The following is a 26,368-nucleotide window of genomic DNA, read 5'->3' as shown; positions in this document are numbered from 1 at the left end:
GTAGCCTCTGGCATAGATCATTTTGAGGGAGAGAAAGATGAGACAGGAATTTATGCTGAATGGGTTGACAAGGTGTACGTATTCAACAGGTTATAAGAGGACCTATGAATATTCATGAAGGGCCAGCATGCTCATAGCCTGGTGGAGTGGATAAAAGCCACTGCTAAGTGTGTTGGCCAGGTACAGTGGCTCACGCTTGTAATCCTAGCATTTTAGGAGGCTGAGGTGGGTGGATCACTTGAGCTTAGGAGTTCAAGACCAGCCTGGGCAACATGATGAAATCCCATCTCAACAAGAAATAAAAAAATTAGCTGAGCATGGTGGTGAGCCCCTGTAGTCCCAGCTACTTAGGAGGCTGAGGTGGGAAGATCGCTTGAGCCTGGGAAGTTGAGGCTGCAGTGAGCTGTGATCGCACCACTGTACTCCAGCTTGGGTGACAATGTGAGACCCTGTCTCCAAAAAAAAAAAAACAAACAAAAAAAACAAACATATGTTTACCCTCAGAAGGGAACTGCCCAACTTCCCCTATAAACGCCAATTGGAGCACCCCTGGTGAAGCAGCTGATATGCTTTGTATACAAGTCATGTGCAACTGGGTTTGTGGTGACAGGAATATTCACCCACTGAATATGCCCATTACACAGGTTATGGTAAATGCTGTGGTCATAAGAGGGCCCCTTCTCTATGGGCACCCCATGTTACTCCTGCAGAATCTACCAGTTCCTGAAGTCTTATCTTACAGATGCTGATAAAAACATCAGGTTAGGGCCAGGCGTGGTGGCTCACACTTGTAATCCCAGCACTTTGGGAGGCCGAGGCGGGCGAATCACCTGAGGTCAGGAGTTCAAGACTAGCCTGACCAACATAGTGAAACCCTGCATCTACTAAAAATACAAAAATTAGTCGGGCATGGTGGCGGGAGCCTGTAATCCCAGCTACTCGGGAGGCTGAGGCAGGGAGAATCGCTTGAACCCGGGAGGCAGAGGTTGCTATGAGCCGCTACTGTACCACTCACTCCAGCCTGGACAATAGAGCAAGACTCTGCTCAAAAAAAAAAAAAAATACAAGACATATTAAAATGTGCTTAGCCAATTGTCAGGGACATAGAAGACTCAGAATCTAATATGGCCGGGGCAGGCCGGGCACGGTGGCTCATGCCTGTAATCCCAGCACTTTGGGAGGCCAAGGTGGGTGGATCACCAAAGGTCAGGAGTTTGAGACCAGCCTGGCCAACATGGTGAAACTCCGTCTGTACTAAAAATACAAAAATTAGCCAGGTGAGGTGGTGCGTGCCTGTAATTCCAGCTACTCGGGAGGCTGAGGCAAGAGAATCACATGAATCCGGGAAGTGGAGGTTGCAGTGAGCCAAGATCATGCCACTGCACTCTAGCCTGAGCTACCGAGTGAGACTCTGTGTCAAAAAAAAAAAAAAGAACAAAAAAACAAAATAAACGATTATGTCCAGGGCAGTAGCACAGGACTGGAGATGTTTGGACAGAGGAGAAAGATCAGCAGTGGGTACACTATGAACACATCTTCCTTTGCTTCAGGAGAAAAGGATCAGGACAGCTGGGGCTGCAGGCCCTGGAGGGCTCACTACCCTGGGGACAGGACAAAAGGGAGGCAGTTGTATAGATCCAAGGTAGAAGATTTATGGGTAGGGTGTGGCCGACAGACCAGGCTGGCAAAAGCGGTCGATAAAGTCAACATCACAGAGGAAGCCAAGTAAGGTCAGGGCAGGTGAGTCCAAACGGACTCCAGGGTGCAGGATCCAGTGCTGTCAGACGGGCTGGCAGGTGCAGCGGGAGAAAAGAGAGGCTTGGTGCCCAGGGAACCTGATGGCCAAGGCAGAGCAAGCCTGGATGGTGACCAGGTTTCAAGTGGGTCCCTGAAGTGGAGGGGCAGGTCTCTTTGTGGTCTTTCAGAGATGACAAGCAATGCTGGGTCAAGGTGAGAGGAAACAAAGCATTGCATACCCACTTTATGAAGTGGTTTATCTAAACTAGTATTATCCAGGCCGGGTGCAATGACTCACGCCTGTAATCCCAGCACTTTAGGAGGCCAAGGCAGGCGGATCACTTGAGGTCAGGAGTTTGAGACCAGCCTGGCCAACATGGTGAAACCCCATCTCTACTAAAAATACAAAAGTTAGCCGGGCGTGGTAGCACACACCTGTTATTCCAGCTACTTGGGAGGCTGAGGTAGGAGAATCGCTTGAACCAAGGAGGCGGAGGTTGTAGTGAGCTGAGATTGCACTACTGCACTCCAGCCTGGGCAACAAAGGGAGACTGTCTCAAAAATAAATTAATTAATTAAATTAAATAAAAATAAATAAATAAACTATTACCCCCCTGACAGCCATTCACGCTGGGAATTAGTGAAAAATAGAAATTCAGACCCACCCAAATTAAGTAGTTGCTAAGACTCTCACAGCTATTAAACAGAGAAGCTCAGATTTAATCTTAGGGCTAACTGGCTGCAAAACCCAGCTTGTTCCACCCTGGAATTCCTTCAGAAAGGTGGCACTTGGGAACTTTCTAACTCATTCCCATTGTTTTTCTCACTTCTCAAGTTTGGAATCTTGACAGCCAAGGACAGAAGAGACCTGGCCAGTCTTGGCGAGTGACGGAACTCTCCTGAGCTCAGCTCTGACTTTATTCCGTGCTGACAGCAAGAAGCCCCTGAAGAAGGCTGGAACTGTTAGCTGCGTTAGGACCCCCTGCAGAGGGGCGAGGGTGATGGGAAGAACAACAGGAAGCCCTGGACCCTCTTCTTGAAGATTTAAATGTCTCATGGGGCCAAGCATGGTGGCTCACATCTGTAATCCCAGCACTTTGGGAGGCTGAGGTGGGAGGATCACTTGAGCCTAGGAGGTTGAGGCTGCAGTGAGTTGAGATCATGCCACTGCACTCTGGCCTGGGTGACAGAGCAAGACCTTGTCCCTAAAAAATAAAACAAAAAGGAGGTCTACTGTGGTGGCTCACGCCTGTAATCCCAGCACTTTGGGAGGCTGAGGTGGAAGGATCACTTAAGCCTAGGAGGTTTTGGCTGCAGTGAGCCGAGATCGTACCACTGCACTCTGGTTTGGGTAGCAGGGCAAGACCTTGTCCCTAAAAAATAAAAACAAAAAAAGGTCTAGTTTGGTGGCTTAAGCCTGTAATCCCAGCACTTTGGGAGGCTGAGGCAGGATGATTGCTTGAGCCCAGGAGTTTGAGACCAGCCTGGGCAACATAGGGAGATCGTGTGTCTAAAAAAATTTTTTTATTTTAATTTAAAAAAAGAAAGAAATCATAAAATGACCCAGAATTCTGGTCACATAGGAGGAGGTGTTTTGGCTTCAGCGGCATGAGTGGCATGCGTGTGGCAGGAAGAGAACCAGACACGGTCTCCTAGAGGACCTGCGTCACCTGTGTTGGTGCTTTTCCTTTTTCCTTTTTTTTTTAGAGAGAGGGAGTCTTGCTCTGTCACCCAGGCTGGAGTGCAGTGACGTGATCTTGGCTCACTGCAACCTCCATCTCCCAGGTTCAAGCGATTCTCCTGCCTCAGCCTCCTGAGTAGCTGGGATTACAGGTGCCCACCACCCGCCCGGCTAATTTTTGTATTTTTAGTAGAGACAGGGTTTTGCCATGTTGGCCAGGCTGATGTCAAACCCCTGACCTCAGGTGATCCGCGTGCCTCCGCCTCCCAAAGTGCTGGGATGAGCCACTGAGTGAGCCACTGTGCCCAGCCTGCTGGTGCTTTTCTTGCAGGAGGCTGGTGGCCTCCAGGCTTTTCCCAGTAGCCTGATTTGTGGTAGTGTTTAACAGTGCGGACGAGGGAGGTGTGAAAGCTATCACTGCTGTAAGTGTGAGTTCCGTGGAGAAAGTAAGAAGTGGATGAACTTAGCAGTTGTAAATTGGGCCACCCACAGTTCCTCAAAAAGTTAAACATAGATTTACCATATGACCCAGCATTCTACTCCTGGGTATATACCCAAGATAAACTGAAAATATATGTCCACACAAAAACTGGGACATCAATTTTCATAGCAGGATTACTTGTAACAGCGAAAAAGTGGAAACAACCCACATATCCATCAACTAATGAATAAACAAAATGCAGTCTATCCATGCCATGGACAAGGAGCCGTGCAGTCGCATGGGTGAACCATGAAGCATCAGGCCACCGGAACCCAGCCAGGCACAAAGGATGACAGGGCAGGATTCCACTCATGTGAAACGTCTAGAATAGATACAGCCACAGGGACAGAAAGCAGATGGGTAATTGCCAGGGGCAGGGGGTAGGAGATCCTGATGCTGCTGATTCCTTTTTTCGTGTACGTGTGTGTGACACAGAGTTTCGCTCTTGCCGCCCAGGCCAGAATGCAATGGTGCCATCTCAGCTCACTGCAACCTCTGTTTCCCACGTTCAAGCGATTCTCCTGCCTTAGCCTCCCAAATGGCTGGGATTACAGGTGCCCGCTACCACGTCCGGCTAATTTTTTTGTATTTTTAATAAAGACGGGGTTTTATCATATTGGCCAGGCTGGTCTCGAACTTCTGACCTCAGGTAATCCACCCGGCCTCCCAAAGTGTTGTGATTACAGGCGAGCCAGTGCGCCTGGCCTTGATGATGCTGATTCTAAGACCACACTCTGGATAGTGCCCAAGGTCCTACCCATCAACAATGTCCAACAGAACTTTCTGGAATAAATACAGGGGCAGGCAAGCAAGCCCTAAAACCGGGGCTTAGCCCAAGAGGGTCCTTGGCTTTGCCCAGAAAAGAATTCAGGGGTGAAATCTTCAGCAATCTGTTTTTTTTTTTTTTTTTTTTGAGATGGAGTCTCGCTCTGTCACCCAGGCTGGAGTGCAGTGGTGCAATCTCGGCTCACTGCAAGCTCTGCCTCCCGGGTTCACGCCATTCTCCTGCCTCAGCCTCCCGAGTAGCTGGGACTACAGGCGCCGGCCACCCTGCCTGGCTAATTTTTTTTGTATTTTTAGTAGAGATGGAGTTTCACCATGTTAGCCAGGATGGTCTTGATCCCCTGACCTTGTGATTCGCCCGCCTCGGCCTCCCAAAGTGCTGGGATTACAGGCGTGAGACACTGCGCCTGGCCAATCTTCAGCAATCTTTTATCGAACTGGAGCTGCTCCTTGCTGAGCAAGGCTAACTCATAGGCAGGGTGCCAGAACCAGGCTTGTGGGTTGGTGGCAACTGTATTTATATCCACTCTCAATCACATGCAAATTAAGGGGTGGGTTAATGCAAATCAAGAGGCAAGTTATTCAGAACTTTCTAGGAAAGGGGTGGTAATTTCTGGGTCATTGTATGGAAACGGCAATAGTCTCTGGGTCATTGCCATGGCATTTGTAAACTGTCATGGCGCTGATGAGAGTGTCTTACCCTAATGAGCAATGAGGGCAGCTAGGGATGGCTTTTTTGGCCATCTGCTGGCCTGCCGGGTTTTTCACTTTATCCTTTTGGGACCTGGAGACAGCTCCTGCCAGTTTCCTAGTTTCTTTTTGTTTTTTTTTTTTTAATTTTTGAGACAGAGTCTGGCTCTGTCCGCTGGCCTGGAGTGCGGTGGCGCTATCTCGGCTCACTGCAACCTCCGCCTCCCGGGTTCAAGCGCTTCTCCTGCCTCAGTCTACAGAGCAGCTGGGATTACAGGCCAGCACCACCACATCCGGGTAATTTTTGTATTTTTATTAGAGACGGGGGTTTCACCATGTTGGCCAGCCTGGTCTTGAACTCCTGACCTCAAGTGATCTACCCGACTTGGCCTCCCAAAGTGCTGGGATTACAGACATGAGCCACCACGCCCGGCCTCTTTTTTTTTTTTTTTTTTTATGAGACAGAGTTTCTCTTTCACCCAGGCTGGAGTTCAGTGGTGCAATCTTGGTTTACTGCAATCTCCGCCCCCCGGGTTCAAGCAGTTCTCCTGCCTCAGCCTCCCGAGTAGCTGGGATTATAGGCACCCACCACCATGCCTAATTATTTTTGTATTTTTAGTAGAAACGGGGTTTGGCCATGTTGGCCAGGCTGGTCTCAAACTCCTGACCTCAGATCCACCTGCCTCGGCCTCCCAAAGTGCTAGAATTACAGGTGTAAGCCACTGCACCTGGCCTCCTGTGGAATTTCTCAGCCAATTCCATGCCCTTGCTGCTGCTGCACTCCCCCTCCTCCTCCCCAGTCCAGGCCCTCATCCGTGTAAGAATCTGGCAGAGCCAGGTCGGGAGAGCCTAGGGATGAAATATGACCAGCCCCCACAGGCCACTCACTCCGCAGGGCCACCCTCACCCTCACACACCTGGTGAGAACCCTTGAAGTCGAGTGCTCCAATTACCAATTTTTATGCCATAAACCACCCCCAAACTTAATGGCCTCAGAGAGCAATACTTACCTTTCTCACAATGTGCACTGGGCAGGTCTCTGTGGGGACAGCTCATCCCTACTCTATTTGGCACCAGCTGAGTGGCCTGAAGGCTGAGGCTGGAATCATCTGAAGACTGGCTCCTTTACATGTTATAGTTGATGCTGGCTGTCACTTGGGACCCTAGCTAGGACTTTAACCAGGGCACCTGCGTGTGTGTTGGGCTCGATAGCGGCTGGGTTCCAAAGGTGAGTAGAGGGAGGAGAGGGAAAAGGGTGGGGATAGAGAGAAAGAGAAAGAAATAGAGCGACAGAGGAAAGAGAGCTTTACCCCTTTTATATTTTCAACCTAGCCTTGGAAGTCATAGTGTGACACTCCTGATGCATTCTACTTGTGAGGATTCAGTCACTAAGGCCAGCCAATATTCAAGAGGAGGGGAATTAGACTTACTATTTTCAATAGGAGGAATGTTAAAAATTTTGCAAACATGTTTTAAAACCACCACGTAGGCCAGGCGCGGTGGCTCACGCCTGTAATCCCAGCACTTTGGGGGGCTGAGTTGGGTGGATCACCTGAGGTCAGGAGTTCAAGACCAGCCTGGCTAACATGGTGAAACCCCATCTCTACTAAAAATATAAAAACTAATCGGGTGTGGTGGTAGGCGCCTGTAATCCCAGCTACTCGGGAGGCTGAGGCAGGAGAATTGCTTGAACCCGGGAGACGGAGGTTTCAGTGAGCCGACACGGAGCCACTGCACTCCAGCCTCAGCAACAGAGTGAGACTCCATCTCAAAAACAAACAAACAAACAAAAACCCGCCATATAGACTCAGGAACCAAGAGTGCCAAGGACACAACTCCAAGGAGCATAACTATTTTGGTTTTTTTTTTGAGACAGGGTCTTTCTCTGTTGCCCAGGCTGGAGTACGCTGGTGCGATCATAGCTCCCTGCAGCCTCAAACTCCTAGGCTCAAGTGATCCTCCCACCTCAGCCTCCAAAGTAGCTGGGAATATAGGTGTGTGCCACCACATCTGGCTAATTTAAAACAATATTTTGGCTGGGCGCAGTGGCTCACTCTTGTAATCTCACACTTTGGGAGGCCAAGGCAGGTGGATCATGAGGTCAAGACATCAGGACCATCCTGGACAACATGGTGAAACCCCGTCTCTACTAAAAATACAAAAATTAGCTGGGCGTCGTGGGGGGGCCTATAATCCCAGCTATTTGGGAGGCTGAGGCAGGAGAATCACTTGAACCCAGGAGGCAGAGGTTGCAGTGAGCTGAGATCGCACCACTGTACTCCAGCCTGGGGACAGAGGGAGACTCCATCTCAAAAAAAAAGGCCAGGTGAGGTGGCTCACGCCTGTAATCCCAGCATTTTGGGAGGCCAAGGCAGGGGGATCATGAGGTCAGGAGTTCGAGACCAGCCTGGCCAACATGGTGAAACCCGGTCTCTACTAAAAATACAAAAATTAGCTGGGCGTGGTGGCTCACACCTGTAATCCCAGCTACTCAGGAGACTGAGGCAGGAGAATTGCTTAAACCCGGGAGGCAGAGGTTGCAGTGAGCCGAGATCATGCCACTGCACTCCAGCCTGGGCAAGCAAGACTCCATCTCAGGAAAAAAAAAAATATGTATATATTGTAGAGATAGGGTCTTGCTATGTTGTCCAGGCTGGTCTTCAACTCCTGGGCTCAAGCAATCCTCCCATTTCAGCCTCCTGAGTAGGTGGGACTACAGGTACATGCCACCATGCCCAGCTAATATTCTTTCTCTGCCTTTCTTTCTTTCTTTCTTTCTTTCTTTCTTTCTTTTCTTCCTTCCTTCCTTCCTTCCTTCCTTCCTTCCTTCCTTCCTTCCTTCCTTCCTTCCTCTCTCACTCTCTTTCTCCTTTTGGGGTCTCATGTTGTCACCCAGGCTGGAGTACAATGGCATGATTATAGCTCACTGTAGCCTCAAACTCCTGGGCTGAAGGGATCCTCCTAGTTCAGCCTCCTGAGTAGCTGGGACCATAGGTGCACACCACCACACTCAGGTAATTTAAAAAAAAAATTTTTTTTTTTAAAGATGGGGTCTCACTATGTTGCCCAGGCTGGTCTCAAACTCCTGGCCTCAAGTGATCCTCCCACCACAGCCGCCCAAAGTGCTGGGATTACAGGCGTGAGCCACTGTGCCTGGCATTGTTGTTGATCTTTGTTCCTTTACCTCCCTGAATACACACATTGTTTGCTATAGCATATGTATTCCCATTGCACTATTCCCAAATAAACATCATTTTCTTTTAAAGACCCTCTGTTATTAGGTAGATATACATGGTATATCTATATATAGAAATGGTACCTGAAAAAATCACTATTAGAAGGAATTGATGATTTTTTTTTTTTTTTTTGAGATGGAGTCTCGCTCTGTCACCCAGGCTGGAGTGCAGTGGTACGATCTCAGCTCTCTGCCACCTCCGTCTCCCAGGATCAAGCAATTCTCCTACCTCAGCCTCCTGAGTAGCTGGCATTACAGGCGCCCGCCACCATGTCCAGCTAATTTTTGCGTTTTTAGTAGAGACAGGGTTTCACCACATTGGCCAGGCTGGTCTCAAACTCCTAACCTCAGGTGATCTGCCTGCCTCAGCCTCCCAAGAATCGATGATTCTTAGAACTGGCATGCAGCACTCACTGAAGGCTGTGAGCTCTCTGCTTCCACAACAGGCCTGTTCTGCCCTGCTGAGTCTTCTCTCAGGCTGAGCCTCCCTCTTTTTTTTTTTTTTTAACGGAGTTTTACTGTTTTTGCCCAGGCTGGAGTGCAATGATGCAATCTCGGCTCACTGCAACCTTTGGTCTGCATGGCCAGTTTGGATTAAAATTTTTGTGAACACTCTTATCTTGGTTTCTTTGGATTTGGTTTGACTCTTTTCTCTTGCTTATTTCTAAAAATCTCCCAAGAGCAAAAATAAACATTCCAACCAGTGGGTGGAGGATGGCTAACATAAGCCACTAGGGTGGTTCCTGCTGTCTAAAACACCAGACTAAACTCCTAATATCCCATAAATTACAGCATGTATAGGGTGGTCTTTGCTCTCAAGTGATGAATAAGAAATGGAATGGGGATGGTGTGGTGGCTCACACTTGTGATCCCAGCCCTTTGGGAGGCCGAGGCAGGTGGATCATATGAGGCCAGGAGCTCGAGACCAGCCTGGCCAACATGGTGAAACCCCATCTCTACTAAAAAATACCAAAACAAAAAAAATAATTTAGCTGGGCATGGTGGCAGGCACCTGTAATCCCAACTACTCGTGATGCTGAGGTAGAAGAATCACTTGAATCCTGGAGGCAGAGGTTGCAGTGGGCCGAGATCGCACCACTGCACTCCAGCCTGGGCGACAGAGCAAGACACTGTCTCAAAAAAAAAAAACAAGATAAAGAAATGGAATGGGATTCTCAAACATGAAGGCGTACCAGGATTTCTGGTTTTTGTTGTTGTTGTTGTTGTTTTGGTTTTTTTTTTGAGACAGAGTTTCACTCTTGTTGCCCAGGCTGGAGTGTAATAGTGCCACCTTGGCTCACCGCAACCTCCGCCTCCCAGGTTCAAGTGATTCTCCTGCCTCAGCCTTCAGAGTAGCTGGGATAACAGGCATGCACCACCACACCCGGCTAATTTTGTATTTTTAGTAAAGACAGGGCTTCGCCACGTTGTCCAGGCTACTCTCGAACTCCTGACCTCAGGTGATCCACCCGCCTCGGATTCCCAAAGTGCTGGGATTACAGGCTTAAGCCACCACACCTGGCCAATGCAAGGATTTCTAGGACTCCACCAGCTACATATTATGGCTCATTCTTGTGCACATTTTAAAACTGATGAGCAAAATTACATCAAGGAAAATTCAGAGCTCAAATGGTCATTATTCATAAAACCTACAACTATAGAGTTAGCATGGAGAGACTTCTAAGTTCTCTTTCTCTCCTTTTTTTTTTTCTGCCTGCTTTGAATCTGCTAACTTTTCCCCTGGTGTTGAGATAACACTTACTGCTTATGGCATTCAAGTCAAGATTAAACAAAAGTCTTAAAGGGCTTTCAAATTACAACTCCATGGTAACCAACAACCTAGACAACTTTTTTTTTAAAGACAGTATCTTGCTATGTTGCACAGGCTGGAGTACAGTGGCATGATTGTAGCTCACTGTGACCTCAAACTCCTGGGCTACAGCAATCCTGCTGCCTCAGACTCTGGAGTAGCTAGTACTAACAGGTGCACAATATTCAGACCAGTTAGTCCTTTTCTTTTTTTTTTCTTTTTTTTTTTTTTTTTGAAAGAGAGTCTCGCTCTGCCACCAGGCTGTAGTGCAGTGGTGTGATCTCGGCTCACTGCAACCTCCGCCTCCCTGGTTCAAGCGATTCTCATATCTCAGCTTCTCGAGTAGCTGGGATTACAGGCACCTGCCACCACACCCAGATAATTTTTGTAGTTTTAGTAGAGATGGGGTTTCACCATGTTGGCCAGGATGGTCTCGATCTCCTGACCTCATGATCTGCCCACCTTGACCTCCCAAAGTGCTGGGATTACGGGCGTGACAGCTAGCCATGTTTTAAAAACATAAAATTAGGTTTGCCTAACAATTGCTTAGAGTGATGAAACACTTAATTGAAAAAGTAATAATCTAAAGAAAAAGGCTAGGTGTGGTGGCTCACGCCTGTAATGCCAGCACTTTGTGAGGCCAAGGCAGGCGGATCACTTGAGGTCAGGAGTTGGAGACCAGCCTGCCCAACATGGCGAAACCCCGTCACTACTAAAAATACAAAAATTAGCCAGGTGTGGTGGTGCATGTCTATAGTCCCAGCTACTCAGGAGGCAGAGATGAGAGAATTGCTTGAACCCAGGAGGTGGAGGTTGCAGTGAGCCAAGATCACGCCAACGCACCCTGGCCTGGGTGACAGAGCAAGACTCCATCTCAAAAAAAAAAAAAAAAAAAAAAAAAAAAAAAAGAAGAAAGAAAGCGAGAAAGGAAGAAAGAAAAATAACTAGACAAATGTTTATAAGGCCAGGCGCGGTGCCTCACGCCTGTAATCCCAGCACTTTGGGAGGCTGAGGCGGGCGGATCACGAGGTCAAGAGTTCGAGACCGGGGCCGGGCACGGTGGCTCACACCTGTAATCCCAGCACTTTGGGAGGCCGAGATGGGTGGATCACGAGGTCAGGAGATCGAGACCATCCTGGCTAACACGGTGAAACCCCGTCTCTACTAAAAATACAAAAATTAGCCGGGCATGGTGGTGCGCGCCTGTAGTCCCAGCTACGCGGGAGGCTGAGGCAGGAGAATGGCGTGAACCCGGGAGGCGGAGCTTGCAGTGAGTCGAGATCGCACCACTGCACTCCAGCCTGGGCGACAGAGCGAAACTCCGTCTCAAAAAAAAAAAAAAAAAAAAAAAAAAAAAAAAAAAAACAGTTCGAGACCAGCCTGGCCAATATGGTGAAACCCCGTCTCTACTAAAAATATAAAAAATTAGCCAGGCGCAGTGGCACGTGCCTGTTGTCCCAATTACTCAGGAGGCTGAAGCAGGAGAATCTCTTGAACCTGGGAAGTGGAGCTTGCAGCGAGCCAAGATCACGCCACTGCACTCCACCCTGTGCAACAGAGCAAGACTCCGTCTCAAATAAAATAAAATAAAATAAAACACCAAAAAAAAGGTCTATAAAAGTTAGACTCTCTTAGATCAAAGAAGTTGAAACCTTGAGCTCAGAGCAATAATGTAAGGTATCTCTGTCCAGCATAAAAATGTTGCTTTTTCTGTCACACAGAGGCCAAAAGGCAAAAACAAAAACAAAATAAAAAAAACACCTGCTAAAGTTCTTTCCTGCCCACATTTGCAAATCAAACCAGATCAGCAAACAAAACATAGACGTGTTACTAGTTCCAGGGCACTTAGATATTTTGTATTTCTTATACAATTTAGCCAATCCTGGCTAAAATGTAAACAATTGAAAATTTAACCCTAAACTCATTTGAAACTGATAAAAAACAGTTTTTTGAGACAGTCTCACTCTCATGCCCAGGCTGGAGTGCACTGGCACAAACACAGCTCAACCTCCTGAGCTCAAGCAGTTTTCCTGCCTCGACCTCCCCAGTTGAATCCTGAGCTGGGACTACAGGCATGCACCACTATGCCCAGGTAATTTTCTCATTTTTTGTACAGATGAGGTCTCACTTTGTTGCCCAGTCTGGTCTTGAGCTCATGGGTTTAAGCAATCCTCCCACACCGGCCTCCCAAAGTGCTGGGGTTACAGGCACCAGCCACCTCAATCAGCCGAAACTGAAAAAAAAATTTTTTTTCTTTCTTTTTTTTTTTTTTGAGGTAGAGTCTCGCTCTGTCGGCCAGGCTGAAGTGCAGTGGCATGATCTCAGCTCACAGCAACCTCCGTCTCCCAGGCTCAAGCAATTCTGCCTCAGCCTCCCGAGTAGCTGGGATTACAGGCACACGTGGGCCACCACACTTGGCTACTTTTTTGTATTTTTTTTAGTAGAGATGGAGTTTCACTATGAGCCAGGATGATCTCGATCTCCTGACCTCGTGATCCGCCCACCTTGGCCTCCCAAAGTGCTGGGATTACAGGCATGAGCCACCGTGCCCTGCCGTAAATCTTTAATCTTTAATAAATAAGCTGGTTTTAAAACTATTGGTAAAATAGGCTAGGCTTGGTGGCTCACACCTGTAATCCCAGCACTTTGGAAGGGTGAGGTGGGTGGATCACCTGAGGTCAGGAGTTTGAGATCAGCCTGGCCAACATGAGGAAACCTTGTCTCTACTAAAAATACAAAAAAGGTAGCTGGGTGTGGAGGCAAGTGCCTGTAATCCCAGCTACTTGGGAGGCTGAGGCAGGAGAATTGTTTGAACCCAGGACGCAGAGGTTGCAGTGAGCTGAGATCATGCCACTGCACTCCAGCTGGCGTGACCAAGGAAAACTCTCTTTAAAAAAAAAAAAAAAAAAAAAAAAAAGACAAAGAAAAAAAGTATTGGTAAAATAAAAATAGAAATGTCTTCAGAATTATCAGCATACATTTTTGCTTGGGTTTACTGGCCAGACAGTTTTATATTTATCTCTACTAGATGTTTTAAGGTGTCAGGGTCTGACACAAGGGTTATAAGACTACAAATCCAGTTTTAAACAAAATGATCTGTGTTTGTATAATTTTTTGTTGTTGTTAGAGACAGGGTCTTGCTCTGCTGTCCAGGTAGCATGATATAACTCACTGTAACCTCGAACTCCTGGGCTCAAGTGATCCTCTGCCTCAGCCTCTTGAGTAGCTAGGACTACAGGCACATGGAACCATGCCCAGCTAATTTTTTTTTTTTTTTGGTAGAGATGGAGTCTCACTGTGTTGCCCAGGCTGGTCTTGAACTACTATCTTCAAGCAATCCTCCTGCCTCCCAAAGTGTTTAGATTAGGCTAGGTATGGTGGCTTATGCCTATAATCCCAGAACTTCAGGACACCGAGGTGGGAGGTCTGCTCCAGGCCAGGAGTTTGAGACCAGCCTGGGGAACACAGCAAGACCCCATCTCTATTTAAATTAAAATGGCCGGGCGCAGTGGCTCACACCTGTAATCCCAGCACTTTGGGAGGCCGAGGCGGGCAGATCACCTGAGGTCAGGAGTTGGAGAGCAGCCTGACCAACATGGCAAAACCCCATCTCTACCAAAAATACAAAAATTAGCTGGGCATGGTGACGGGCACCTGTAATCCCAGCTACTTGGGAGGCTGAAGCAGGAGAATCGCCTGAACCTGGAAGGCAGAGGTTGTAGTGAACCGAGATCATGCCATTGCACTCCAGCCTGGGCAACAGAGCAAGACTCCGTCTCAAAAAAAAAAAAAAATAGCCAGGCATGGTGGTGCGCACCTGTAATCCCAGCTACTCAGGAGGCTGAGGCAGGAGAATCATTTGAACCCAGGAGGTGGAGGTTGCAGTGAGCTGAGATCAAGCCACTGCCCTCCAGCCTGGGCAACAGAGTGAGACTCTGTCTAAAAACAAATTTTTTTAAATTAATTAAAAGAAAAAGTGACGCAGGGCATGGTGGCTCATGCCTGTAATCCCAGCACTTTGGGAGGCTGAAGGGGGTGGATCACCAGGTCAGGAGTTTGAGACCAACATAGTGAAACCCCATCTCTACTAAAAATACAAAAATTAGCCAGGCATGGTGGCACACACCTGTAATCCTAGCTACTCGGGAGGCTGAGGCAGGAGAATTGCTTGAACCTGGGAGGCGGAGGTTGCAGTGAGCTGAGATCATGCCACTGCACTCCAGCCTGGGTGACAGAGTGAGACTCCGTCTCAAAAAAAAAAAAAAAAAAAAAAAAAGAAAAAGAAAAAGTGTTGCTAGGCACAGTAGCTCACGCCTGTAATATCAGCACTTTGAGAGGCTGAGGCGGATGGATCATGAGGTCAGGAGTTTGAGACCAGCCCAGCCAACATGGTGAAACTCTGTCTAAAGATAAAAAAAAAAAAAAAAAAAATAGCCGGGCGTGGTGGTGCATGCCTGTAATCCCAGCCACTCGGGAGGCTGATGCAGGAGAATTACTTGAACCTGGGAGGCGGAGGTTGCAGTGAGCCGAGATTGTGCCATTGCCCTCCAGCCTGGGCAACAGGGCAAGACTCCGTCTCAAAAAAAAAAGAAAAAAGAAAAAGAAAAAGTGTGATTATTGCGATTACAGATCTGAGCCACCACGCCCAGCCTGTGTAATTTTTGATAAGTAATACTAATTTAATATTTTTCATTTAGTAAAAACATCTATATCGGCCGGGCATGGTGGTTTAGTAATCGCAGCACTTTGGGAGGCCGACGTGGGTGGATCACCTGAGGTCAGGAGTTCAAGACTAGCCTGGACAACATAGTGAAACCCCGTCTCTACTAAAAATACAAAAATTAGCCAGGTGTGGTGGCAGGAGCCTGTAGTCCCAGCTACTCGGGGGGCTGAGGCAGGAGAATCGCTTGAACCTGGAGGCAGAGGTTGCAGTGAGCCGAGACTACACTACTGCACTCCAGCCTAGGAGACAGAGCGAGATTCCACCTCAAAAAAAAAAAAAAAAAAAACTGTATCTCCTGAGTTATCAAGAAATTACTCATATGTTTAAGCTTCTTACTTAGGTGAATACCTGATTGTCACAGGCTATAAAAATGATTAACAGGGAAGTAACTTGAAATAATGACTATCCTTGCCTAATATCTCAGTTTTCATAAATAATCTAGGGAAACTGTTAAAAATAAAGTATGTAATGGATAATTTATTATAAATAAATTTTTCATGTAATTTTAAATCTTCTATTATGTTCTATTAAATTAACTATTATTCATTAGATGTGTGTATTATTTCCAAGTAAGAAGAAATAACTGAAACAAATTGCTGAACATAAATGTTTTTGGCTGGCTTCTTAAATTTTATAGAATGACTAAATATACTTGGTCTTTTTTTGTTGTTGAGACAGTGTCTTGCTTTGTTTCCCAGGCTGGAGTGTAGTGGTACACCCATAGCTCACTGCAGCCTTGAACTCCTGAGCTCAAGTGATCCTCCCCTCTCAGCCTCCCAAGTAACTAAGACTACAAGCACATGCCATCATGCCTGGCTAATTTTTTGATTTTTTGTAGAAATGGGAGTCTTGCTATGTTACCCAGGCTGGTCTCAAACTCTTGCCCTCAAGCAATCCTCCTGCTTCAGTCTCCCAAAATTGTGGGATTACAAACATGAGCCACCTTGCCTGGCCTTAAACTTTTTTTTTTTTTTTTTGAGACAGAGTCTCGCTCTGTTGTCCAGGGTGGAGTGCAGTGGCATGATCACAGCTTACTGCAACCTCTTCCTCCTGGGTTCAAGCAATTCTCCTGCCTCAGCCTCCTGAGTAGCTGGGATTACAGGCATGTGTCACCACGCCCAGCTAATTTTTTTTTTTTTCCCCAGACAGAGTCTTGCCCTGTCACCCAGGCTGGAGTGCAGTGGCATGATCCCGGCCCACTACAACCTCCACCTCCTGGGTTCAAGCGATTCTCCTGCCTCAGCCTCTCAAGTAGCTGGGACTACAGGCACCTGCCACCAAACCCGGCTAATTTTTGTATTTCTAGTAGAGACAGGGTTTCACCATGTTGGCCAAGTTGGTGTCGAACTCCTGACCTCATGATCCGCCTGCTTTGGCCTCCCAAAGTGCTGGAATTACAGGTGTGAGTCACCTCACCCGGCCTTTTTTGGTATGTTTAGTAGAGACGGGGTTTCGCCATGTTGGTCAGGCTGGCCTCAAACTCCCGACCTTAGGTGATCCACCTGTCTTGGCCTCCCAAAGTGCTGGGATTACAGGCATGAACCATTGTGTAGGGCCTAAACTTGTACGTGATGAAAGAATCAAAACAGCCAGTGATATCTTAGTAAGAAAAAACCATGTCTGATCTTTCCAGTTTTTAATAATGTTAACTCTTCTAAAAGTTTGTTTAAAAAGATTGATTAAAAGAGCACATACAAGTTTTCAGGTTTTGTTTATTTTGATTTTTTTTTTTTTTACAATAAATCATTGTTTGATTGTAGGGAAACACACATAACTGCCAGGCACGGTGGTACACACCTGTAATCCCAGCTACTTGGATGGCTGAAGCAGAAGAATATCTTGAACCCGGGAGGCGGAGGTTGCAGTGAGCCAAGATTGCGTCACCGCACTCCAGCCTGGGCAACAGAGACAGACTCCGTCTCAAAAGAAAAAAAGAAATACATAACATAAAATAACATCAAAGTTACTATCATTTTTCTATATTGACCTCTAGAACAGCCAGAAAGAACATCTTAGTTATTTTTAAGCGTGTTGTTCGCTGGCACTAACTTCAGGTTTGATTTTAAGGCTTGTAATCTGGTAAAATTCTAGCCTCCTCAGGTTTCTGCGAGTGTCCTGAGCCTTAGCTTCCCCCTGTAACTGCCAAAGGGGTTCACCTTGCCCGCTGCCTACACATAGCCGATTCATCAAGACAGCAAAATTGCAATAAAGAGTAATTCACACAGAGCCAGCTGTGCAGGAGACCGGAGTTTTTTTTTTTTTTTTTTTTTTTTTTTTGACGGTTTTGCTCTTTTTGCCCAGGCTGGAGTACAATGGTGCCACCTCGGCTCACTGCAACCTCCGCCTCCAGGGTTTAAGTGATTCTCCTGCCTCAGCCTCCTGAGTAGCTGGGATTACAGGCACTTGCCACCACACCTGGCTAATTTTGTATTTTTAGTAGAGACAGTGTTTTCTCCATGTTGGTCACGCTGGTCTCAAACTCCCAACCTAAGGTGATCCACCGGCCTTGGCCTCCCAAATTGCTGAAATTACAGGCGTGAGCCACTGTGTCCAGCCAGGAGTTTTATTATTACTCAAATCAGTCTCCCTGAGCATTCGGGAAACAGAGGGTTTTTTTGTTTGTTTTTGTTTTGTTTTTTTGAGATGGAGTCTTGCTCTGTCGCCCAGGCTTGAGGGCAGTGGCGCAATCTCGGCTCACTGCAAGCTCCGCCTCCCAGGTTCATGCCATTCTCCCGCCTCAGCCTCCCAAGTAGCTGGGAGTAGCTGGGACTAGCTGGGACTACAGGCATCCGCCAACACGCCTAATAAATTTTTTGTATTTTTAGTAGAGATGGGGTTTCACCGTGTTAGCCAGGATGGTCTCGATCTCCTTGTGTCCAGAATTGGCGGGTTCTTGGTCTCACTGACTTCAAGAATGAAGCTGCGGACCCTCACGGTGAGTGTTTCAGTTCTTAAAGGCGGCATGTCCGGAGTTTGTTCCTTCTGATGTTCGGACGTGTTCCGAGTTTCTTCCTTCTGGTGGGTTCGTGGTCTCGCTGGCCTCTGGCGTGAAGCTGCAGACCTTCACGATGTTACAGCTCATAAAGGCAGTGCAGACCCAGGATAAGCAGCAGCAAGATTTATTGGAAAGATCAAAAGAACAAAGCTTCCTATGTGGAAGGGTACGCCGAGTTGCCACTGCTGGCTCTGGCAGCCTGCTTTTATTGCCTTATCTGGCCCCACCCACATCCTGCTGATTGGCCCATTTTACAGAGAGCCAACTGGTCTGTTTTATAGAGAGCTGATTGGTCCATTTTGACAGGGTGCTGATTGGTGTGTTTACAAACCTTGAGCTAGACACAGAGTGCTGATTGGTGTATTTACAATCCCTTAGCTAGACATAAAGGTTCTCCAAGTGCCCACTAGACTCAAGAGCCCAGCTGGCTTCACCTAGTGGACCTAGCACCTGGGCTGCAGGTGGAGCTGCCCACCAATCCTGTGCCTGCACTCCTCAGCCCTTGGGCGGTTGATGGGACCAGGCCCCGCAGAGCAGGGGGCGGTGCAGGAGCCCAGGCAGGGGGACGCTTGGGCATGGCGGGCTGCAGGTCCCAAGCCCTGCCCCGTGGGGAGGCAGCTGAGGCCTGCGAGAATTCAAGTGCACCTGTGGGCTGGCACTGCTGGGGGACCTGGCGCACCCTCTGCAGCTGCTGGTCTGGGTGCTAAGCCCCTCACTGCCTGGGGCCAATGGCGCCAGCCGGCCTCTCTGAGTGCGGGGCCCACCGAGCCCACGCCCACCCGGAACTCATGCTGGCCCTCGAGCGTGGCCCGCAGCCCCAGTTCCCGTCCGCGCCTCTCCCTCCACACCTCTGGCAAGCAGAGGGAGCGGGCTCCCGCCTCGGCCAGCCCAGAGAGGGGCTCCCACAGTGCAGCGGCGGGCTGAAGGGCTCCTCAAGCGCAGGGAGAGTTGGCGTGGAGGCCGAGGAGGCGCCCAGAGTGAGTGAGGGCTGCCAGCACGCTGTCACCTCTCATCCTGACCTTGTGATCTGCCTGTCTGGTCCTCCCAAAGTGCTGGGATCTGGGAGTGCAGATTGGTCAGAGATGAAATCATCAGGAGTCAGAGCTGTCTTCTTGCAGAGTCAGTTCTGGGTGGGGGCCACAAGATCAGATGAGCCAGTTTATTGATCTGGGTGGTGCCAGCTGATCCATCAAGTGCAGGGTCTGCAAAATATCTCAAGCACTGATGTTAGGAGCAGTTTAGGGAGGGTCAGAATCTTGTAGCCTCCAGCTGCATGACTCCTAAACCATAATTTCTAATCCTATGGCTAGTGTTAGTCTAGTCCCCAGGCAAGAAGGTCTGCTTTGGGAAAGGGCTGTTACTGTCTTTGTTTAAACTATAAACTACAAACTAAGTTTCTCCCAAAGTTAGTTCAGCCTACGCCCAGGAATAAACAAAGACAGCTTGGAGGTTAGAAGCAAGGTGGAGTCAGTTAAGTTAGATCTCTTTCTTTGCAAAGGCGGTTTCCCCCGGACTCTCCATCTCCAGCTCCTCCCAGCAGGGCTCAAAACCACCAGGATGGGGCAGTCTGACGGAGACTGTCTTTTCATTCATTTATTTATTTAATTTATTTATTTTGAGACAGAGTCTCGCTCTGTTGCCCAGGCTGGAGTGGAATGGCACGATCTCGGCTCACTGCACCGGGTTCAAGCGATTCTCCTGCCTCAGCCTCCTGAGTAGTTGGGGTCATAGGCGTGCGGCACCACGCCCGGCTAATTTTTGTATTTTTAGTAGAGACGGGGTTTTGCCATGTTGGCCAGGCTGCTCCCAAACTCCTGACCTCAGGTGATCCACCCGCCTCGGTCTCCCAAAGTGCTGGGATTACAGGCATGAGCCACCTCGCCCAGCCCAGGGATTTCTATCTATTCTTCCACCACCCTGGCCACTACATGCTCACCCACACATACATTGGTCATGCGACTTTGGTCATGAAATCTCTTTTCTTTAAGCCTTACTTTTGTCATCTGTGGATGAGTCAAACTAGAGAATCTCAGAAAGTCACCTGGACTCCAGAGCCTGATGACATCTTGTCACACTCTGCTCCAGGCTCCTCCCACCCTCAGCAGCAGGAAAGAGGGACAGACATGAGGATGGTCAGGGTTTTGGAAACAGGCCCACGCCTGTTTTTATACCCTGGACTCCTCTCAGAGGCTTGACATTTTTGTTACCCAAGCCTCACCTCACTGATATTTTCCAACCAAAATGGGGGCTAAATGGTCTGAAGAGAGAGAGACTTATGTTAATTAAAAGTATGAGGCAGGGGCCAGTGTGGTAGCTCACACCTGTAATCCCAGCACTTTGGGAGGCTGAGGCAGGAGGATCTCTTGAGGCCAGGAGCTTGAGACCAGCCTGGGCAACATAGCAAGAGCCCATCTCTACCAGAAAAAAAAAAAAAAGGTGTGAAGCAAGCTGGCCAAGCAGGGGGTGCCTGTGGGGGCTGCATGGCAGGAGCAGATCTGGGGAGGCACCGTGGATAAGACAAGGCAGGATGGGGTGGGGCATCCTCCCAGGAGGAACGGGGGAGGCACCATGGTTCTCTGGGAATGTACGGGCTAAAGTCCCAGTGTCCTATTTCTTTTTCTTTTCTTTTCTTTTCTTTTTTTTTAAGACGGAGTCTCACTCTGTTGCCCAGGCTGGAGTGTGGTGGCACGATCTCAGCTCACTGCAACCTCCGAGTCCCGGGTTCAAGCGATTCTCCCTGCCTCAGCCGCCTGAGCAGCTGAGATTACAAGTGCCCGTCACCATGCCCAGCTAATTTTTGTATTTTTCAGTAGAGATGGGGTTTCGCCATGTTGGCAGGCTGGTCTCGAACTCCTGACCTCAGGTGACTTGCCCACCTTGACCTCCCAAAATGCTGGGATTACAGGGGTGAGCCACTGTGCCTGGCCCCGGCGTCCTCTTTCTCAGCTTTTCGGTGAATGTTCTGGGGCTCAGGGCCTGGCTATGGGGTGACACTAAGTTCAACAGAACCATTGCCCATTCCAGCCCCACCTTACCCCAGGAAAAGCCTCCTCACCGCAGTGACCACATCCCCTTGGGTTGCTTTGGAAACAAACACTCCCCAGGGGCAGACGAGTTGGGGCACAGTTGCCCAGCAACAGGCGGTGCCCTCCCTTCCGCCTTCATCCGAGGCCGGGCCTCTACGTCTGAGAGGCGGACCGCCCTGCACCCTCCAAGCCTGCACCTCTTAGTCCAGCACCAGGAAGAGTGGCTCTAGGAGGGAGAGGAGCCCAGGGACTGACCCAAGGTGAGTTGAGGGGTGCAGGAGGCCCCCTGCAGATGGAGGATGTGGGGGACAGAGAGGTGTGCAGAGACAAACGAGAGATAGAGACAGGCCAGAGCCTGGGCAAAGCTGGGGAGCCCAGGAGGGGTGCAGAGGCGCCTCCGGAGGCCTGGCCCGGCCCGGCCCGGCAGCAGATTCCGTGGAGCCTATGAGAGCAAGATCAAGTCCGAGGAGAATGGTGAGGGGCGAAGGAGCCTCAAGGGGCCAGCGGAGGTGCTGGCGGCAGGCGGTGGGGGAGACACACGCAGGGGAGCCAGTGGGAGGGGAGGTTCTCATTTCTTCACCCACCACTTCCTCTCTAGGTCTGAGCAAGACTTGAGGGGGCCGAGTGGGGAGGAAAGAAGCCCTTGAGACCTTTCTTGTCTGAGGCACCCTGGGGTCTGGGAGGGAAATGGGGATTCTGGAAAGGCCTGGAGAGCCAGGCAGGAGGGCCTGGCTGTGCCCCGAGGTAGGCTGCCTGTCCTCCCACCCCACCTGGCTCACGCTTACCCTTTCTGGTCCCTCTTGCTTCTCTGTCTCTCCAGAATGTTCTTTTTCATTTTTGAGAAAGGGTCTTGCTCTATTGCCCAGGCTGGAGGACAGTGGTGCAATCTGGGGTCACTGCAGCTTCAAACTCCTGGGCTCAAGTAATCCTCCCACCTCAGCTTCCTGTGTAGCTGGGACTACAGGTGTGAGCCACCACACCCAGCTAGTTTTTAAATTATTTTTAGAGATGAGGTTTCACTGTGTGTCCAGGCTGGTCTTGAACTCCTGGGCTCAAGTGATCCTCCCGCCTCGACCTCTCAAAGTGCTGGGATTCCAGGCATGAGCCCCCATGCCCAGCCCTTCTCCCAGGCTTTCCTGGACACCTGCTGCCTCTCTCTCATCTTGGTTGTGCCCCCTCTGCCTCATTTACTTCCTCTTCTCACCCCTGTGTCTCTCAGATGCCGTTGACTCCAGAGCCGCCCTCTGGGCGCGTGGAGGGGCCCCCCGCATGGGAAGCAGCCCCATGGCCCTCACTGCCCTGTGGGCCCTGCATCCCCATCATGCTGGTCCTGGCCACCCTGGCTGCGCTCTTCATCCTCACCACCGCTGTGTTGGCTGAACGCCTGTTCCGCCGTGCTCTCCGCCCAGACCCCAGCCACCGTGCACCCACCCTGGTGTGGCGCCCAGGAGGAGAGCTGTGGATTGAGCCCATGGGCACCGCCCGAGAGCGCTCTGAGGACTGGTATGGCTCTGCGGTCCCCCTGCTGACAGATCGGGCCCCTGAGCCTCCCACCCAGGTGGGCACTTTGGAGGCCCGAGCAACAGCCCCACCTGCCCCCTCAGCCCCAAATTCTGCTCCCAGCAACTTGGGCCCCCAGACCGTACTGGAGGTCCCAGCCCGGAGCACCTTCTGGGGGCCCCAGCCCTGGGAGGGGAGGCCCCCCGCCACAGGCCTGGTGAGCTGGGCTGAACCCGAGCAGAGGCCAGAGGCCAGCGTCCAGTTTGGGAGCCCCCAGGCCAGGAGGCAGCGGCCAGGGAGCCCGGATCCTGAGTGGGGCCTCCAGCCACGGGTCACCTTGGAGCAGATCTCAGCTTTCTGGAAGCGTGAAGGCCGGACCAGTGTGGGGTTCTGAATCCCCAGGGTTCCCCAGAGATCCCCGAGGCAGGCCTTGCCTCAGTGGGACCGGGGACCCCAGGATCCAGCATTAGGATTGAGACTGCCCCAGCGAAGATGCCCTTCCCAGGCTCCTTCCACCTGGAGTCCCCCTCCCCGGGTCTGGGTGGTGGCCAGGCTATGTGGACTAGGGGAAGCCCAGCAGTGCCTCTGCTCAGCTACCTGGGCTGTGGCTCAGAGACCTGGGGGTGGAGCCAATGCCAGGCCAGAAGCCTTCAAGATCGCATCCAGATGAAGAACCCAAGGTACTAGATAGTCAGGAAATGGCATCGACCAGCCACCTCCACCTTCTTTCAGTGTTTACCGAAGCCACCAATACCAAAGAGAACGGGTCCTGCGGTGCTGAACAGCCTCGGTGTGGCGATGACAGCTGGCAGGAGATGACAGGAATCCAGTTTCCCAGAGCCACAAATCCTGTTCTCCTTGGCCACTCACCCACTGTGAGGTCCTCTAGGAAAATACACAAAGAGAGGACCAGACCAGGCAGAGGAACATTTTGTTTCATATGAACTGTGGCTTTGACCCCCAAACTGCAAGGAGGAACTTGCTGGGCCAAGCTGCAGCGGCGCTGTCTTGCTGGAGTGGGGACCTAGAGTCAGAGAAAACCCACAGGCTCCTCTGCCCATTCTCCTCCATCTGCACACGTCTCAGCCTCGGACCCTCACCACTCCATGGTGAGGAAGGCCATGGCCAGGGGAAACTGAGTTTCATCCAATGTGGAGAGGAGCGTTGTCCTAGAGCAGGGCAACTCCCAAACTGTGACCTCTGATCATCGTCCCTTCCAGCTTGCTGGAGTGTCCAGAGAGACAGATTTGCCACAAGCTAGGCTTACTTATAATGCTCCACCCTACAGAAATGGGACCCCAAGTACCCAATCTTCCCTTTAGGAGAGGCAGGCAGGTGGGTGAGCAGCAGATGTAGTTTCCATTTCCCTGGGGGTTTAATTTTCCAAACTTTGTCTTTTTTTTTTTTTTTTTTTTTTTTTTGAGACAGAATCTCAACTCTGTCACCCAGACTGGAGTGCAGTGGCACAATCTCAACTCACTACAGCCTCGAACTCCTAGGCTCAAGCGATCCTCCCACCTCAACCTCTAGAATAGCTGGGACTGCAGGTGCATACCACCACGCCCAGCTAATTTTTGTATTTTTTTTGTAGAGACACGGTCTCACCATACTGCCTGGGCAGGTTTCCAACTCCTGGGCTCAAGTGATCCAGCAGCCTTAGCCTCCCAAAATGCTGGGATTACAGGTATGAGCACTGCACCCGGCCACTTTTTTTTGTTTTTGAAACAGGGTCTCACTCTGTTGCCCAGGCTGGACTACAGTGGCACAATCTCAGCTCACTGCGGCCTTGAACTCCTGGGCTTAAGTGATCCTCCCACCTCAGTCTCCCTAGTAGGTGGAACTACAGGCATGTACCACCACACCTGGCTATTTTTTTTTTTTAGAGACAGGGTCTTGCTATGTTGCCCAGGCTGGTCTTTAATTCCTGGGCTCGAGAGAGCCACTCATCCCCATCTCTCAGAGTGTTGGGATTACAGCCATGAGCCACCATGCCCGGCCAAACTTCAGCCTTGAATATTAGTGATTTTGCCATATTAGTTTACCATCTGTACAATTATTTGCTTTATATTTTTCTTTAAATTGGCTCATTATTCACTTAATGAAATTATTGCAACAGGAATCTTTTGTATCACTTCTGTAAATGGAAAACCAGTCTCATTTGCCATCAATAGAAGGTAAAACATGAAAATAAATACAATGTAAACAAAATTGTTAAGATCTAAATTCTGTTCCCTGCTGGAAGCATTGACCTAAAACTCTGCTCTTTGTTTTTGTTGTTGTTTTTGAGACGGAGTCTCGCTCTGTTGCCCAGGCTGCAGTGTGATGGCGCGATCTCCGCTCACTGCAACCTCCGCCTCTGGGTTTAAGCGATTCTCCTGCCTCAGCTTCCCAAGTAGCTGGGATTACAGGCGCCTGCCACCATGCCTGGCTAATTTTTGTATTTTTAGTAGAGACAGGGTTTTACCATGCTGGCCAGGCTGGTCTCGAACTCCTGACCTCATGATCTGCCCGCTTCAGCCTCCCAAAGTGCTGGGATTACAGGTGTGAGCCACCGCGCCCGGCACTGCTCTTTGTTAACAAGAAAAGGGAATGTTGATCTGCAAGTCAGAAAGTGTTAGATACTCTAGCACCACAATGAGACCTTCTGGAAGTGCCAAGGCAGACAGACAGCCCCGCACAGGGGGCGGGATGCTGTGTTGTTTAATGCTGTCCACGAAGTTCACCCACAGCCAGGAAACACTCACTTCTCCCTGCACAGTGGGCTAAGGAGCACTTGGAGCCTCTCATCCAATCCCTTGACCTCCCCTCTGATTTTTGGGATGTTGGAAGTTGACAGAGCAGCCAGAAACCCCAGGCAGAGGGACCGAGAGCCTAGTCCAGTCTCTTCTCCCAGGTGTAGTCACTGGCCAGCATCCTAAGCACTGTTTCTGAGCTGGGCACTGGGAGGGGAGGAATAAGACCTGGGCCCTGCCCTCAAGGAGCTCACAGTCTCTCTAGCGGCAGAGTAGGGAACAAAGGTAGGGGTGAGCTAAGATATGGACACAAAACTGACACCAGGGAGAGACCAGGGCCCTGTCCCATCTCTATCACTCATGAGCTGGGTAATGACATTCCTTATCATCACCATCAGTTGACAGCACTGGGTTGTGGGGACTCTGCCCACGAGGAGTGAACAGACCTGAGAGAAACAGAAGATACAGGCAGGTGTTCAGAGGTCAGATGCTTCCATGCCATGGGTTCAGGAAAGGCACTGCAGTGTGGAAGAAATGCAGGGACAAGGCCCCAGTTCATGATCTGCCTCCATCACCTTATTCACTTAGAGACTTCAGAAAACAGAGTTTTGTATTATGGGGCCTCATGTGCTTTTTTCATGTACAAAAAGACAGCTGAAAGTTGAACAAGATGTTCTATTGGGACTTTTCTAGCTGTGACATTTGAGAATGAGTGAAGGGGGCCAGCCCCTCCACACCTGTGGGTATTTCTTGTCAGGTGGGGCAAGAGACTGAGAAAAGAAATAAGATGCAGAGACAAAGTATAGAGAGAGAACAGTGGGCCTAGGGGACCAGCGCTCAGCATACGGAGGACCTGTGCGGGCACTGGTCTCTGAGTTCCCTTAGTATTTATTGATCACTATCTCTACTATCTCAGTGAGGCGGATATGGCAGGACTATAGGGTAATGGTAGGGAGAGGGTCAGCAGGAAAACGT

At 49.7% G+C, this 26,368-nt stretch overlaps 1 protein-coding gene and 1 long non-coding RNA gene across 5 annotated transcripts, besides 7 other annotated features; one reads left to right on the top strand and one right to left on the bottom strand.

The window, feature by feature from the left end:
* Positions 1,590 to 1,884: a silencer, noted in NCBI's record as "tiled region #10200; HepG2 Repressive DNase matched - State 5:Enh, and K562 Repressive DNase unmatched - State 8:EnhW". NCBI's record gives its function as "represses a minimal TATA promoter and a strong SV40 promoter by Sharpr-MPRA in HepG2 and K562 cells {active_cell/tissue: HepG2 | K562}" and the evidence as "EXISTENCE:reporter gene assay evidence [ECO:0000049][PMID:27701403]".
* Positions 3,587 to 3,724: a silencer, noted in NCBI's record as "fragment chr16:29774929-29775066 (GRCh37/hg19 assembly coordinates)". NCBI's record gives its function as "represses an EF-1alpha promoter that drives an FKBP-Casp9 reporter gene in an ReSE screen in phorbol 12-myristate 13-acetate-treated (for megakaryocytic differentiation) K562 erythroleukemia cells {active_cell/tissue: K562(+PMA)}" and the evidence as "EXISTENCE:reporter gene assay evidence [ECO:0000049][PMID:32094911]".
* Positions 12,186 to 12,245: an enhancer, noted in NCBI's record as "active region_10673". NCBI's record gives its function as "activates an Ori minimal core promoter by ATAC-STARR-seq in GM12878 lymphoblastoid cells {active_cell/tissue: GM12878}" and the evidence as "EXISTENCE:reporter gene assay evidence [ECO:0000049][PMID:35858748]".
* Positions 12,686 to 12,755: an enhancer, noted in NCBI's record as "active region_10672". NCBI's record gives its function as "activates an Ori minimal core promoter by ATAC-STARR-seq in GM12878 lymphoblastoid cells {active_cell/tissue: GM12878}" and the evidence as "EXISTENCE:reporter gene assay evidence [ECO:0000049][PMID:35858748]".
* Positions 12,936 to 12,985: a silencer, noted in NCBI's record as "silent region_7332". NCBI's record gives its function as "represses an Ori minimal core promoter by ATAC-STARR-seq in GM12878 lymphoblastoid cells {active_cell/tissue: GM12878}" and the evidence as "EXISTENCE:reporter gene assay evidence [ECO:0000049][PMID:35858748]".
* LOC124903673 (uncharacterized) lies at positions 17,690 to 22,085 on the bottom strand. Its single transcript, XR_007065046.1, has 2 exons — positions 21,947 to 22,085; positions 17,690 to 19,356 (listed from the first exon to the last, which is right to left on the bottom strand). It is a non-coding gene; the product is annotated as an uncharacterized LOC124903673 (long non-coding RNA).
* Positions 20,406 to 20,475: an enhancer, noted in NCBI's record as "active region_10671". NCBI's record gives its function as "activates an Ori minimal core promoter by ATAC-STARR-seq in GM12878 lymphoblastoid cells {active_cell/tissue: GM12878}" and the evidence as "EXISTENCE:reporter gene assay evidence [ECO:0000049][PMID:35858748]".
* Positions 21,003 to 21,052: an enhancer, noted in NCBI's record as "active region_10670". NCBI's record gives its function as "activates an Ori minimal core promoter by ATAC-STARR-seq in GM12878 lymphoblastoid cells {active_cell/tissue: GM12878}" and the evidence as "EXISTENCE:reporter gene assay evidence [ECO:0000049][PMID:35858748]".
* On the top strand, positions 21,342 to 24,869 carry C16orf54 (chromosome 16 open reading frame 54). 4 transcript variants are annotated; one of them, XM_047433979.1, is made up of 3 exons: positions 21,709 to 21,905; positions 22,381 to 22,664; positions 23,394 to 24,869. In XM_047433979.1, exons 1-3 carry the CDS (start codon positions 21,849 to 21,851, stop codon positions 23,440 to 23,442), a joined length of 390 nt encoding a protein of 129 aa, XP_047289935.1. In that variant the 5' UTR covers positions 21,709 to 21,848; the 3' UTR covers positions 23,443 to 24,869. The 4 variants fall into 4 exon arrangements, with proteins under 4 accessions (NP_787096.2, XP_047289934.1, XP_047289935.1 ...); NM_175900.4 differs by lacking the exon at positions 21,709 to 21,905 and adding an exon at positions 21,342 to 21,421 and having other exon boundaries at positions 22,381 to 24,869; XM_047433978.1 differs by lacking the exon at positions 21,709 to 21,905 and adding an exon at positions 21,342 to 21,635 and having other exon boundaries at positions 22,381 to 24,869.
* Positions 24,870 to 26,368: the final 1,499 nt, after the last annotated feature.

This window comes from Homo sapiens, chromosome 16 (genome assembly GCF_000001405.40).
Source record: "Homo sapiens chromosome 16, GRCh38.p14 Primary Assembly".
In the NCBI taxonomy this organism is placed as follows: domain Eukaryota; kingdom Metazoa; phylum Chordata; class Mammalia; order Primates; family Hominidae; genus Homo; species Homo sapiens.
This window is presented reverse-complemented; position numbering and strand designations above follow the sequence as displayed.

Excerpts from the sequence above, each read along its gene's own strand:
- C16orf54 (XM_047433977.1), top strand. The coding sequence starts at position 21,849 with ATGGGGATTCTGGAAAGGCCTGGAGAGCCAGGCAGGAGGGCCTGGCTG. Across the intron at positions 21,906-22,380 it reads GGGCCTGGCTGTGCCCCGAG|ATGCCGTTGACTCCAGAGCC; the intron begins GTAGGCTGCCTG and ends TGTGTCTCTCAG.